General features: G+C 36.7%; 2 protein-coding genes across 36 annotated transcripts in view, besides 1 other annotated feature; both read left to right on the plus strand.

Moving 5' to 3' along the window:
• The window catches only part of IQCJ-SCHIP1 (IQCJ-SCHIP1 readthrough), an 828,041-nt gene that overhangs the window by 791,250 nt on the left and 21,296 nt on the right, over nucleotides 1–15,495 (plus strand). For all 4 annotated transcript variants that reach the window (NM_001197113.2, NM_001414413.1, NM_001197114.2 and 1 more), the window contains one exon: nucleotides 5,595–5,713. In NM_001197113.2, coding sequence (NP_001184042.1) covers nucleotides 5,595–5,713 — 119 coding nt within the window. The remainder of the gene's footprint in view (nucleotides 1–5,594; nucleotides 5,714–15,495) is intronic.
• The window catches only part of SCHIP1 (schwannomin interacting protein 1), a 624,116-nt gene that overhangs the window by 587,325 nt on the left and 21,296 nt on the right, over nucleotides 1–15,495 (plus strand). For 29 of the 32 annotated variants that reach the window (NR_182429.1, NM_014575.4, NM_001197107.2 and 26 more), the window contains one exon: nucleotides 5,595–5,713. The exons of 1 other annotated variant lie outside the window; for it this stretch is intronic. Coding sequence is in view for 30 of the 31 variants with exons in the window: in NM_014575.4 (NP_055390.1) it covers nucleotides 5,595–5,713 (119 nt within the window). In the remaining variant the exon portion in view is untranslated. Of the gene's footprint in view, nucleotides 1–5,594; nucleotides 5,718–15,495 lie in introns of all 32 variants that reach the window. 2 more of the 32 variants (NM_001414424.1, NM_001394295.1) reach the window with 2 other exon arrangements.
• Nucleotides 11,453–12,652: an enhancer, noted in NCBI's record as "P300/CBP strongly-dependent group 1 enhancer chr3:159589810-159591009 (GRCh37/hg19 assembly coordinates)". NCBI's record gives its function as "activates an origin of replication core promoter dependent on BRD2, BRD4, P300/CBP, MED14 and CDK7 cofactors, with strong dependence on P300/CBP, by STARR-seq in HCT116 cells {active_cell/tissue: HCT116}" and the evidence as "EXISTENCE:reporter gene assay evidence [ECO:0000049][PMID:35650434]".

Below are 15,495 nucleotides of genomic sequence, written 5' to 3' on the forward strand. Positions count from 1 at the left end.
TTATAAAACAAGTACATCCGATAATTTTTAAAAGTCTATTTCAGTTCCCATGGCAAAGAGTGAAAAGTGAGAAACAAATGCATCTGGGAGGAGGGGAAGCTCAATCCAGGGAAGAACAGAAAGACAGGAAACTGGGGGAAACACTTTTCTTTCTCCCACTCCTTCCCACAACTGAATCTTGTCCAGGCCTACAACTGTCCCTGCTCCAAATCTTACATCTGCTTTTATTCCCACTTCTGTGCCTTTCTCATCTACTGGATCCCCTGATTCCCTAGGCCAGGTTTCCTTAAATCCATTCATCCTCAGGGGAGTTTGAGCAGCCCCTTCCTCTTGGTCTGACAGGCCCTTTCCGGCTCTGTGGGTTTCATCATCTGTGCAGGACTCAGAAGGAAGCAGCTGTTTGTTGTGTCCTAAGCACCAGATGGCTTTAGGTTCAGGTTTAGGATGTTATTTCCTGAAGTGTGTTCCTGAGAACCCTAGAGGCCCCCCAGATTTTCCCACAAAAAATATAGTTTGTTAATTAAATAGATTTTGAAAATGCAGAAAACACCCAATCTTCCACTTGTAAATTTACGTGCAGATTAGCATGCTGAAGGCTTCTTGCTTCAGAGACACCACAATGCTGCTAGTAAGGTGGGCTGGGCCAGAGGCAGGAAGGCAGAACCTGGGGAGGGGATGCAGGAATGATCTTGGTGTGTAAGGGATGGGGCCATGCCATATGCCGAAAAAAAGGGTGGAAAGGTCCTGGGGACATATTAGATTTGAAGATAGATGATACCTACCCATGCTGAACATTTTGCTCTTTATTTCATTACTGAATGCCCCTCTTTGTTCTTGTCCAGATTGGGGAATTGCAGTAGAACAGGGCACATCAGGAAAGGCTGAGCATTGGTGTTCAGAGTCTGCAAGTGCTCAGTGGTCTGTTCTAAGATCATGGTGGCTTGCATGGCATCATTGAAAGTCATTGTGAGCCTCATCTGCTCAGGCACAGCGGGTGGCAGTAGGGAATTTAGCAACAGATGAGGACAAAAACTTCCTGGGGCTGAATAGCGGTGAGTTTCTAATCACATTTTTACTTTCATCTGGGGCTTGAATAGCTTTTCTGCCTGATAGTGATGAGCCCTGTTCCTCAGTTGCCCTTTGTTTTTGCTAGCAATACTAATTTTAGATGTTGTACTTTTGTTTTATGAGGGTATTTCCCAAGGCTGTTTTAGGAGTGGACATGGTTCTGCCTGTCATAAGTGCAGCCAGACAGTGGTGTTTTGAGTCAGCCTCTTCCTTTTCCTGTACCCTTGTCTGTTTCTCACCCTGGAGCGTATTGGGCTTGGCTGGATTAAGGGGGCTGGTGGAAGACATATTTGCCTTGCAGGTATAATTCCTCAGAGAACAAACCGCCCTTGAAACCACACACACATATATTTTACACATGTGGGCAACTGAAAGAAAATTGGGTTCTCATTGTTAAATTTTCAGATTGAGTAGTAATGGTAAGGAGAGTGGTCCTGATGGGAAGATATTTGTATTGTGGATATTTGTGGTTATGATTTAGCCCATAGTATGTATGCTTTGCCAGTGTTTTCTCTTTTTCTGAGAAAACATCACATCCATCTCAGGGAAGAAGTAGACCCATAAGTCTTTGTGCCACATTTTATCCTCTGCATGGTACCCACCATTATTATTAGTCTGAACACCTTACTCTTTAATGTGGAAAAGTGATGAGAAAAAGCAGAAAGATCTGGTATTAGGAAGCATGGACTTGGATCCTACTGCTCCTGCCTAACAGTATGGTAACCTTTCATCTCCCTCAGTTTCCTCATATTCAAAGCAGAAATTGTTGGAGTATGAACTATAATGCTACCATCTATCACAGACTTACATTACCACAGGTCAGGTACAGCTGCTAAGTAATTTACTTAAGTTTTCTCATTTAATCTTCCAGCACCTAGTGAGATCCTTTACCTCTGGACTGGGAAGAGTTTTCCAAGCACAAAAGCCACTGACAGCATGACAGATGAAGCAAGCTATTGACTTAACTACATAACATTTACAGTTGAAACTCAAAAGGACAAATACTCTACTATAAAATGTTTAAAATTCTCAGACCTTTGTAGGAAAATAAGCAAAGCTAGGAATAAGTAATTCAGAGAAAAGAAAGTACAGTCACTAAAAACATTTAAATATTTACTCTCACTAGTAATCAAATAAATTGAAATTTAAAAACTACTTTTTGCCTATGAAATTTTTTAAAAAACTTTTTTTTTTAAGTGAAAATGTTCAGTGTTAGCCAGGATGTAGTGAAAGCTGCACCCTCTTACATTGCTGGCGGGCATGTGGATTGGAACAGCTTTTTTCGAGAGCAATGTGACAAAATGTGTCAAGAGCCTCAACAAATGTTCACACTTAGCTGATCTGCTAATTCCACTTCCAGGAACTTATCCTGAGGAAATAATCAGACATGTGGGCAGGCATTTATGTAAAGAGGCTAATTTCTGGTCAGGCATGGTGGCTCACGCTTGTAATCCCAGCACTTTGGGAGGCTGAGGCAGGCGGATCACGAGGTCAAGAGATTGAGACCATCCTGGCCAACATGGTGAAACCCTGTCTCTACTAAAAATACAAAAATTAGCTGAGCGTAGTGGCGCGAGCCTGTAGTCCCAGCTACTCAGGAGGCTAAGGCAGGAGAATTGCTTGAACCTAGGAGGTGAATGTTGCAGTGAGTCGAAATGGTGCCACTGCACTCCAGCCTGGTGACAGAGCGAGACTCCATCTCACCAAAAAAAAAAAGAGGCTAACTTCCATGTTATTTTTAATTTGACACAACTCAAATGGCTAACCATAGAAGGTAACTCCATAGGATGGAATGATATGCAACCATTAAAGATTGTGTTTTTTTTCCTTTCTGGCTGCTCTGGAGGAAAAAATTTTAAAAGATTTTAAAATTGTGTTTTTAAATAATTTGAAGGGATACAAGGGCAATTCTGAAAATCTAATAAATAATATGATCTCAACTTTATAAAAAGGAAAATAATGCACACATATGATAAAAACTAGGAGGAAATATACTAAAATGTTAGCAATCATGTCTCTCTAAGTGGTGGGATTATGAGTGATGTTTATATTCTTTAAGCTTTTCTTGATTTGTTCAGTGGTATCCAGAGACAGAGAGAGAAGGAGAGGGGGAAAGAGAGTGTATTATAAAACAGTCCTCTTTAAACTGTTAGTGAAGTATTTGGGTGTAAAGAACTGCAATTAATGTAAATGGAAATATTTTTAAGGTCTCCTCCAATATCTGTAGCTCTAGTTTATCAAGAAAGATAGACATGGAATCAAGGGTATATTCACACATTCATACCCTGGGATAAGAGTTTTCTTTAAAGCCTGTTTCAGACCCTAGGCTAATGTCAGGCCAGCATGTTGTTGAACATTAATCATTAAAATTCATGTTGCTATCTACTGATTTTATATTTGGATATTCAGCTATACTCAACAGTTTTCTGCCTGTTGAGGACTTTGGTGAGAATCTCTTTTGTCTGTGATATGGATTGAGAAAAAGGTTCACTGACTGTACAAAATCTGCCTGGCAGATATGGGGATTTGAAATGAACTTGTTTTAAATAAAGGTGTCAAGTGATGTGATTCTGTTTTGGCTGGACCATCCCAAGTGCCAGCCTTGCATATTCGGAAAGGTGGTTTGCCCTAATTAAGGTTCCAAGCAGTACAGTTGCAAGTGGTTAGTGAAATAAAAGGCATTCTTGCTTCCCTCCATAACCTTATGGTTACTTTCTTAAAGCTTGGTTTTGTGCTAGCCCGGCAAAAAATAAGAACTATGAAAGCAGTCTTTCACATCTGTAAAAAAAACAAAAAATCTGTATAAAAGTAGTCTTTCACCTTATGGCTGTACTACACACACACACACACACACACACACACACACACACACACACACATATGCTAGCTCCTAGTATGATGCAGTTTCATTGATACATGCTAAAAGGGGGTGCTATATATATAGACAGAGATAATCACTAAGTGTGTACAGTAGAAAGAATGCTTATGGTGTCCAAGGATTAAAAAGTGTGAGAGAAAAGGAGAGTAGAGATGAGGTTTCTTTGAACTAGTTCTCAAACCTGTTGAAATTAAATATCTGGCACTAGAGCCTGGGGCATTCTAATGCAGCCTGTTGAAGCTGGATCTTGGGAACCACTGTCTTAGCTGTACTTTGCTGTCATGTATTTTATTCTGTGCTGTCTAGTACAGTATCCACTAGCCACCTGTGATGGTTGAGCTCTTGAAATGAGGTAGTGTGCCCGAAGAGCTGAATTTTTAATATTAATTAATTAATTCTTAAGTTGAAATGCAAATAACCACATGACACTAGTAACTACCATATTAGACAGAGAAGCCTTAACCTATTGTATACTGTCCTTCACTTGGGAATGAAATTATTTTCAGTGCGCCCTTCCCACAGGCTATGCATTTTTGTCATTGTGACACAGTGATGCTCCAGAACCTCCTACTGGGAGAATGAAGGCATCACCAAGCCTTTAGTAGCCACACCCAGTCACATGACCTGCATTTTGTAATATAGTTTGCTCAGTGTGGTCTTCAACCCCTTGCTCAGTGTATAAAATGGTACTTCTCAAAGCCTTTGTCATCTCACAAAACTAAAATTTCATCCTTAGCCCAGGATTTTTGACTCATGTTGTTTGTTTTTTGTAGTAGTTTCATTTTTAACCAAGGAAATCATTTTTAATCTTCTCCCCTGTTGTTTAAAGGGTTTAAAAGTTCAGCATGGTGAGTTTTTATGGGGCGTTTAATGAGAAGCCAAGCATTGTAAACATATCCAAATGATCACAGTAGTGTAGTTTACCAAATCCTTTTTCTATGCACACTGACCTGACCTCCCTTCAAAATATGAAACAGATGGGCCCAACTAGAATTCTCCAGCTATTCCGGACATTATTGTCAAGGTTTCTCACATTCTAAAACCTGGTGAGATGAGGCTAGCTCTTGAATGGAAACAACAGTCCCCAACAAGACTGTAAGCTGCATGGAGGCAGGTGCTATGTCTGTCTTGTCCTGGGTTCTCTTCTGGCCTTATTGTGGCATCTGCCAGCTCCCAGAGGCTGCATGTTGGTGAAGTGAATTACTCTTCTTGCCATAGAGAAAATGGGCTGGCTAAAGGGACGTGTAAAGCAGAGAGAAGACAAGATCAGGGAAAGGGCACATTTGGGATCAAAGTGATTTGATTCAGGAGAAAGTACTTGCCCTCCACAACTTTACCTATACCTAGCAGGTAAGAAGAAGAAAGATTACGTGACAAATAATCTAGTTCTATCCTCGTGAAAATCATTTAGCACCACGATGGTGATTACTTAGACTAGAGATTAGAATGAGCTCTGAAGAACTGAAATTCAAGCCAGAAGAGACTGGTAAAATTTCAGCTTTTAATAATTCAAATACTCTTATGCCGCAGCCTATTTATTTGTTTTTCATCTAATGTTACAGTTCTAAGAAACTTAGCAAGTTAGACTGCCTGTGGTTGTGCTATATCTGCCCACTTATCAGCATTTTTTATTTTCTTGAAATTTTAGGCACAGAAAAATGAGAGAGAGTCTATCAGACAGAAGTTGGCACTTGGAAGCTTCTTTGATGATGGCCCAGGAATTTATACCAGCTGTAGCAAAAGTGGGAAGCCAAGCCTTTCCTCCCGGTGAGTGTTCTTTTGAGTTGAATTTCTGATATGTACACAGTGGATTCTGTCACTTGACTATTCTAATAAAAAAAAGCCTTTAAATCTTCTGTAGTTTTTTTTTCCCCCTCGCATAATACTGCCATCTTTATTTGGGTTTTAGACAGACCCTTCCCCACTTGTTTGTCGGTTTCTTTGTTGTTGTTGTTGTTATTATTGGCTCATTTCCCAGCTACTTGAGGTCAGATTTTTATATTCCATTTTTTTTCTAGCCACAATACTGATTCTGTACACTGATAGAGGAATCAAGCCACACTCCTAAGCAAGCTGACTTATGATTAGAGACATGTGGCAGACTACCAAATTTCCCATTAAGCAGTCCCAGATCACCCAGAATCACCCCCCTGACACATTTGATTGCAATAAATACTCGTAACTGAGAAATACAATTCCCGCTTTGATCATTCAATGTTTATTACAGTTCTTAACCTGTCCTTCTGGTGGTTTTTCTTTATCTTAATTTATTTCAGGATATCATTACTCTTTATCATAATTTATTTCAGAATATTATTGGTCATTTGCGTAGCTTCTAATTCCAAGTAAGATATTTAAATTATAATTTTATCCAAAAAACAGTGCTATAGGCCAGAGTTTCTCGAACTTTAATGTGCTTATGAATCATCTGGGGATTTTGTTAAAATGAAGACTCTGATTCAGTAGATCTAGGTGGGGCTCAAGATCCTCCATTTCTATGAAGCCCCAGCTGTGATATTCATGCTGCCATTCCATAGGCTACTTTGATTAGTGAAAGTATAGACAGTCTGAAAAATTAGGCATTACAAATACGGGTATTCCAAGTGATGAAAGCATGTAGAATGTTTTTACTAAGATGATAGTAACTGATCAGCATTCTCATGGTCTCCCCTCACTCCCCAAATGTCTGTTTCCTCTCAGTCTTCCTTTTGGCTAAAAGCAAATATACTCTGTTAAAATACTCAGTTATTTTACCATCTTAAGCTAGGCATTGGAAACAAATTATAGTATTTATGCATCCATTTAACCAACATATTTCTTCCATGTCTGCATGTGAGGCCTGGAACTAGGCATTTTTAAAATATCTATCTGTATTCCATATGGCTTTCAGTAAGGTTTGTACTACTATCTTATCCTGAGAGATTCTAAATCAGCAAAAATCGGAAAGCAGAAAGCAGACACATGCTCACATATACACCTATTTGTGAGGCACTGCAGGCAGATCAGTACATCAAGACAAGAGTGCCAGTTTCACCAGACAGTGTTCCAGCATCTCTTCCTCTGCTGGGTGCCAGCTCTGTCTCAGAACATTCCCTTGTGTTCCTACACATCCCTCCAGAACTGGATGGTCAGCCCTCCTCTTTCCCTTAGGAGCACCTCTTTCCCCTCCCAGTCAGATGTGGCAGAAGGCGCTTTGGCCTAGGAACCTGGAGATCTGAGGATTAGTCCTAGTACACTTCTAATTTTGAAACTTTAACAATTTACTTAGTTTTACCATGTCTCATTTTCTTCATTTTTGTGAAATGAGAGCATTGGACCATATCATCTTATAGATCTCTGCTACTGCTCTCTAATATTTCCCAGAGTGCCAAAATGTCTTCTTTTAGAAGCCCAATCTCTCTGTTCAGCAATGTCATATCCATGTTACAAATGAGAGGTTTTGATTTTGAAAATCAGTGATTTATATATATATATATAAATCAATGATTTATATATATATAAATCAATGATTTTTATATATATACACACACATATACCTATGTACATATACATATATATGGGTTATATATAACATACGTATATATTAGCTAATATTAATCTATATGTAACATACCTATATATAACCCATATATATGTATATGTACATAGGTATATATGGATGTATACATATATATATGTGTCTTTGTGTGTGTGTGTGTATATGTATACTCCAGATATATTTATATTATCCTTGTGCCACTCTCCAGAAGAAATAACTTTTTACTCCTTAACTGTTTCTTCTGGTATTTACCTACATATCTCTAAATAAAATGCTTATCTTCTTAGTTTTTATTTTAACCATCAGACTACCTGCTATAAAAAGATAGTGATTTAGCTCTTTTTTTACAGCCCTCCCAAAGACTGTCATCTCTTCTATTCTTCCTTTAGAGTAATTTCACAATTTAGAGTCAAATAGCTATTTAATGTTTACATTATTAAGATTATGCATTATTCATCGCTTCTCAGCCTTTTAGCTAAGATCAAGTGTAAATTATGCATTATTCCCACTGAACCACGTAGTAAACTATGGTTACTTGAGAAATTTTATTTTTTGTCCTGAAATTAGAATTGCCTCCTTTCTCCCCATGTTCTGCATTTGTATTCCAGTGTGTGAATATACCACAATTTATTTGGCCTCTCTCCTGATAATGGGCATTGGATTATTTCAAAGGTTTTGCTCTTGTAAACAATGCTACGTATAAACATTCTTGTATATGTCTTCTGCTATACATATGCAAGAGTTTCTCTTTGGGGCATACCTAGGAGTAGAATTACTAGGAAAATACATGATTGTTTACACTTAGAATATAATGTCAAACTGTTTTCCAACATGGTTGCAACAGATTATACTCCTACCAGCAATGTTTCAGAGATCCTGTGGATCCATAACGTTACTAACATTTGATATTGCCAATTCTTTTAAGTTTTTGTGAAGATTGAATAGGTATAAAATGATTTTTATTGTGTATATTAGCCGTATTTGTTTTCTCTTCTGTGAAATATCTGTTTGGGTCCTATGCCAAATTGCTGTTGGATTCTTTATGCTTTTCTCATCAACTTATCGAAGTTCTTCAGTCATGATACTAATCCTTAATACACTGTATGTATTGCATATATCATTTCCCAGGTTGTAACTTATTTTTCACTTTTTTAATATGTGTTTTATGACCAGAAGTTCTGAATTTTATAGGTTGATTTTATACTGAATTTTATCAAACTTTTCTAGTCAATGGCTTTCTGTATCTTGTGTAAGAAATTTTCTTCTCCCCCAAGATCCAATAGACATTCATTAGATTTCCTACCAAGAGTCGAAAGTGTTGAGTTTTTAAAAGTCTGCAATCAGTCAAAAGTTGATTTCTTGATATGGTATGGAGAAGTCAAATTTGATCGTTTTCCTTATATATGACCATTTTTTTATCATATTTATTGGACAATCCCTCTTTTACTCACTGATCTTATAGACTACTCCCATATATACTGTATGTTAATGGAAATATATTCTATTTTATTATTGTTTCTATCTCAGCAGCAAAACTATAGTGTTAATTACAATAGCTTCAAAATAAGTCCTGATATCTGGACAGGAAAGTCCTTTTTGTTATTCTTTTTCTTCAGAAGTATGCTGCCTGTTACGGCTTTTTTTATTCCTCCACATAAACTTTAAATAATATAATCAAGTTCAACAAAATACTCTCTTGGAATTTTGACTGTAATTGCATTGATTCTATAGACCAATTTAGGAAGCATTACATTTTCTCATTGTCTTTCTATCCATGAATATGGTCTGTCTCCCCCTTATTTAGATCTTATTAGGTATTTCTTAATAAGGTTTAGACATATTACACATCTCTTGTTATATTTATTTCTTTCTTAATAAGGTTTAGACATATTACACATCTCTTGTTATATTTATTTCTAGATACTTGCTATTCTGATAAATTCTCTTCAGTAATGCTTTCTCATTTGCTGCTGGTGAACAGAAATGCAATTAACTTTGTATACTAGTATTATATTCAGCCACTTTGTTATTACTCCTATTACTTCTCTACTCTCCTATTATTTCTAATAAAGTTGTCTGTAGATTCCCTGGGATTTTTAAAGAATGATATCATCTACAAATAATGGCAGCTTTATTTATTCATTTTCAATTCTCATGCTTTTGGTTTCTTTGTCTTATTGGATTGGCTAGGTACCCTAATACAGTGAGGATTAGAAATAGTAGTAGTTGGAATCCTTAGCTAATTTCTCATATTAAATGAAATGTTTCTACTGTTTTCCCATTTCAGATGATGTTAATTTTATGTTTCCTTTAATGATTCTCTTTATGAGATGATGTTCCCTCCCAGGTATAACTTACAAAGAATTTTTATCATGAATGGGTATTTAACTGTATCACATGCTTTTTCTTCATCTGTTGAGTTGAAGAAAAAGTACAATTTCACTCTGTTAATCTATTATATGAATTAATGAATTACATTTATAGATTTTCAAAATATTAAACCATGCTAGCATACCCAGTCTAAACCTAAAGTGGTTAGGGAGTATTATATTTTTTCAGATACTGTTGGAGTATTATATTTTTTCAGATACTAATATTATAAATAAAATCTGAGTAAATAATTATAAATAAAATTCATATTTTATTTGTAACATTTTGTTTAGGATTGTTAGGTTTATATTCATGATTGACATGAATCTATTGTATTCTTTTCTTCTGACATTTTTGCTTGGTTTTAGTATCAGGGTTATGCTGGCTTAAAAATGGATTGGGAAGTATTCTCTTTCATATTGTCTAAGAAAAGTTTACATAATATTTTTATGATCTGTTTCTATAAAGCTTGGTAGGACTCATTTCTCTCTGGGCCTGGTGTTTACTTTGTGTATTTGCTTTAACGACAGCTTCCATTTCTTAAGTGGTTATAATATTATACATACTTTTTATTTCCTCAGATCAGTCTGATGAGTTATATTTTTCTAGGAATATGTCCATTTTGTTTGTTTTCAAAATTGTTGGCATGATGTTTTCTCATTTCTCTGAAAGTATTAATTTTAATTAAGTTGTTTAAAATGTTTTCCTGTCCATCATGACTTTTTCTGAGTTTATTTTTCATTTGTTTTGCTTTCTGCCCACCAATAACTAAGTATAAGACACTAAAAGCTGTTTATAAACTGTGGTTGGGGCTAGTTGGCATGCATCATCTGCTTAGAGAGCCCTTCCCTGACCACCCTATTAAAAGTAAACGTTCTCGTACCCATCACTTTGTCCGGTCTTACCCTGCTTATCTTCTTACCCTGATTTGTTTGTTGGGGGGGGTGGGGGGGGGCTTATTATAACCTAACGTTGTAGTATATATACTTTGTTCTGTCTTTCTCTAGCTCTAAAATATAAGCTCTAAGAGAGCAAGACTTCGTCTCTATTTTGTTCACCACTGTAACTATTGCCTAAAATAGTATCTAATACATAATCACTAAATATTTGTTGAATAAATGAATGGTGAACTTCACTATAGAATGGCTGAATAAGGACACAGCTCTTTCATTGGGATGCATCTAATTGAAAGTATCTAGGAGTCTTTTCTCTTGGGCTATGAATTGCGACTGAGAGAAACCCTCCAACCTCATCTTGAGGCATTTTAAACCTGGCTGCCAATGTTTTAAGACTCTAGCAGGGGAAAGATAGGAACTGTAGCATATAAAATTTTACTTAATTTCCTTGATTTCAGTAAAGCATCTCTTTGCCACCTCAGCTGTGCCTGAGCATGCTCCAGTCTCAACCTCTTAAGACAATAAATTTCCTGATTCTGCCAGGCCACAGGTGGTCAGGGCAGATAGCAGGGCAAGAGGGTCCTTTCAGGTGTTAAATCAATCTTTGTGTTCGGTCCTACTTCACTCCCCTACTTTCAGCTGTATCTGAGCATTTCGAGGATCCTGCAGTAGAAATGCATGTGCTTCCTCTACCAGCCTCCCCTGTGGGCACATGGTAGATTGAGGTAGTTAAGTCAAATACTCCCCACCCATCTGCATATTATCTTCTAAAATTTCATCAAAATCCCTTGTGTGCTGTTGTTTCCATTTCCTTTTTCTTTGTGCATATAGATTTGTACCTTCTTTTTTTCTTTAATATTATTTTAGTAAGATTTCAGAAGTGAGAGTAGATACTTGTGCTTAATATGCCATGGTTAACTAGAAGGTTTTCACTGTTTTTAATAGCACAAATATGTTGATTAAAACCCTGTGTGGAAACCCAGCTTGGCAGTCCTCCTTTGGTTCAGGAGGACTGAAGGAGAGAGACTGGAATACCTCTGCCCAGAAAATGTGTCCCCCATCCTAATTGCCCCTTTCCATGCCTGCCCTTTGGTACCTCTCTCCATCCTTCCCCTACAAGCCCCTGAAGCCTACCTGAAACTCTTCTGGCAAAGCAGAATTTGAAAATCACTGAGTCATCTGCCCCCTGTGGAGACACGGATATCTAAACACAAATGTATTTCACAGTAGCTCATAACAAGCTACACTTGTTGACTCACCATAAGGAAGATTATTTATATCCTGTTCTTTCTGATACTTTCATCTCCACATTCTGGGATGAGATCATCTTCTGAGAACACGATGACTGTTTGGGATCTCTCTCAGAATGATGGTTAATAATGAGACTACATATTTCTAAGAAATATCACTTTATCCCTATAAATTTAAAGTTTGCAAAGACTGACTGTCATCCTCCTCATCAGTAATAATGTAGGAGAAAAGCCTTTAGAATGTTCAGTTGCAATTGTGTAACCCATACTCCCTATCCCTGTTAGAATTTGTTTCTGCTGCATCACTATCCCTGAAATTCTTCATTGAACTGGAAATACCTTACCTCTTACTTACAAAAGTACTTGAGGGATGTCAGAACATTGAGTTCACCAGTATGGTACTCCAAAATGTACCAGAGCACATAATAGTATTTGAAAAACCATTAGGTAACTTACAGAAAAGCTATCATTTTTTATGCCCTCCTCCAAGGATTACCTCTAGTATTCTAAAATATTACACAATTTCAACGTGAAATAGATTTTAAGTGGATCTTTTGAGGAGTAATAAGATTAAAACCAGGTAAACCTGATATGAATTTACTACTCTGAAGAGCTCAATGCCCAATTTTAAATGAGGCTGGAGATTTAAAATTAATTGACCAAGCAGTGGATTCCTAAATGCTAAGCTTACTTTTTAAGGCAGGGCCTACTGAGGTGAGTGGGATCTTTGGCAAACTAATGGAGTTCTGTTTATGTTTCTTTAAAGGCTGTATATTTGCCTGTAGAAACTAACTCCATGCACAGTATGTGAGAAATTATCAAGTAACATGAGGGTCTGGGAAGACTGGAGTTTCAACTGTTCCTGTGAGCGTGAGTTCCTCTCAGTTGTCTGTTGGGTTTTAGCCCCACTGGATTTTTCTAGATGTTGCTATCTCCTAAAGCACTTCTTAAGAGTGACAAGTTGTTAAATGAAAGCTAGGCTTACAATAATCCCATAAAGACATTTCATGCCTAATAGTGCAGCAAAATAATATTTGATGTTGCTTCATAACTCAACTAATTAAATTTGACTTATACTGAAATGTGGCAAGTAGAGTGTCATTTTTTTCTTCAAAATTTGCTAATCCACACATTATCAGCCCTTTACAAACTGAAACTGTATAACCTTTGTCATTTTTTCTATTTAAAAGTGTTTCCGTAAAAAGTTTTTTAAAGCTTAAAATGAAATGAGAAAAATGAATTATCTATTTTTGAAATAAGGTTTCTAAGAAATATTAGGGTTAGTCATATTCTTGAAGAAACATTTTTTCTATTATTACTAGTATGATACTTTCCTATAAAATATGTTTTCATTGGCCAAACTAATTATCAGTTAGCATTATGTTTCAGATGATGAGCTTGTATAGCTTAGTGTAATTAAAGGAATAGAAACAGGCTTAGCTGCTGTGGGAACACAAGATAGTCTTTATTAATAGATATCTGGGAAATCTTTTATTTTTTAAACATTACAACCTGACCTAACATTGTGAAGGAAGTTTTCTCTGCCTTCTCCTTTTACCTTTTCTCAGAGTAACCACGAAATAAATTTGATTCTCACCTCTCTTCTTACCTTACCCCAAGAGAGAACTTATTTACATACATATACATATAAACACAGTCTTTTTCATAAAGTGTGCAATGGGATGATGTGACCTGAAATAGGCTATACCATTTTCTCCAAAGGCTGAATATTATGAAAAACAGAAATTCCCCAGAGAACTTTTGAGCAGCTGCTTTGAATAATGATTACTGTTTACTTAACTCAACCATTCCAACATCACCCAATCAAAACTCATTTCTTTCTTGGCCTTATAGGTTTATTGGTAAATGGCTGAGACAAGGCCAATAATGGACACCTGCCATCTCCTTTTGTGTTTGGGCTGGAGGGCAAGGAGTGGGGGGCACCCTAACTGGGAGCTGTTATCAACTGGACCAATAACAGTGAATCCAGAGAGACTTCAAAGAAATAGGATTCACAGGGACTTTAAAAGTGAGGAACTGAGAATCTGTATATACAATGTGCCACGAATCACAGGTCGAACCAGCATCATTTTGCCAAGAAAGTCAATCATCCTTTTGTCTCTAACAGTAATAATTGTTGTATGATTTTCTGGAAGAAGTAAGCACAACGGTTATATCTGCCCAGCGTTAATGAGGAAAGAGGTTGTCTAGTTCCAACTCAGTGAAATTGCCTGTCTGTGGCATCTTTCTTGAAATAATAGATGCATACTGTAGCAACCTATTTATAACATGCAACATATCTTTAACATTTCATATTAGTCTCATACATATATACTAAAGATTTGCTTTAAAAACCCTTCATATAAGTATTTCCAAGGTGTGTGTCATTGCAAATGGTAGCTAATGATGACTTCTTTTTTTTCACTATTTGAAAGGCCACTGGGTAGTCTAAAAAAAAAAAAAACAAAAACTATCATTTTTTATGCCCCTCCTCTAAGGATTGCTTCCAGTATTCAAAAATATTACACAATTTCAAAAGTGAAGCAAGATTTGAAGTAGATCTTTTGAGGAGTAATAAGATTAAAATGGCAAAACAAATCTAATTATGTAAGCAATTCTTCTCCTTCACAAACCTGAAAGAAAAGCAAATTGGTATTTGTGAAATTTTCTTTGTCTAATAAATAGTCTCACTTTACAATAACACCAATGACCCTGGTTTAATTAGGTGCAATTAATTTTATGCAAGCTGAATTTGACATCTTGCTAGAGGCATAACCAGCTGTACCCTGTCTTATGAATTTTTTTTTATCACCAATGAGAATTCAATTGCCTGAGCTATTGCAAAAGAGGGGGAGGCAGGAAGAAAAAGACCACAGGGCTGCATTTTATATTTAAAAATGGCTCTAGTAGACAGCTGAATGTTTAATTAAAAGAGTTTCTAGGAATTATTTTTCATTGGTGCATCATCTTTGACAAGCTATGATGACTTTATTACTGTAGTTTGCATTCTCTTTGGACAGTGGTCCTATACATGTGTCTAGACACACACAGTTCACGTGACAGTGCTCCATTGAGAGTGCACAAAAGCATTCATTGCTGCTAGAAAACATTCTAACTGACTGCAGGTGAGCCATGTTATCTAAGGTTTAACACCATCCTTTTACTCAATCCTGTTGTAAAATTTTCTGTCCTGCTTGGATTGTTCTCATTCAGATTATTGCACGCATTAAAAACCCATGGAAAGCCAGGCACAGTGGCATGTGCCTGTAGTCACAGCTACTCAGGAGGCTGAGATGGGAGGATCCCTTGAGCCCAGGAGCTTGAGGATAGCTTAGGCAACACAGCGAGAACCTGTCTCTAGAACAAAACAAAACAAAACAAACCATGAAAGAGATTTCTGATGAGAACAGAAACCATTAGTGCAATCAACAGATTACAAAGAGGAAAACAAGATCCAATGGCTATAATTTGTGAAGTGTTTTCTAAGTAGACAGA

The sequence above is a fragment of the Homo sapiens genome, chromosome 3 (assembly GCF_000001405.40).
Source record: "Homo sapiens chromosome 3, GRCh38.p14 Primary Assembly".
NCBI classification, from domain to species: Eukaryota; Metazoa; Chordata; class Mammalia; order Primates; family Hominidae; genus Homo; species Homo sapiens.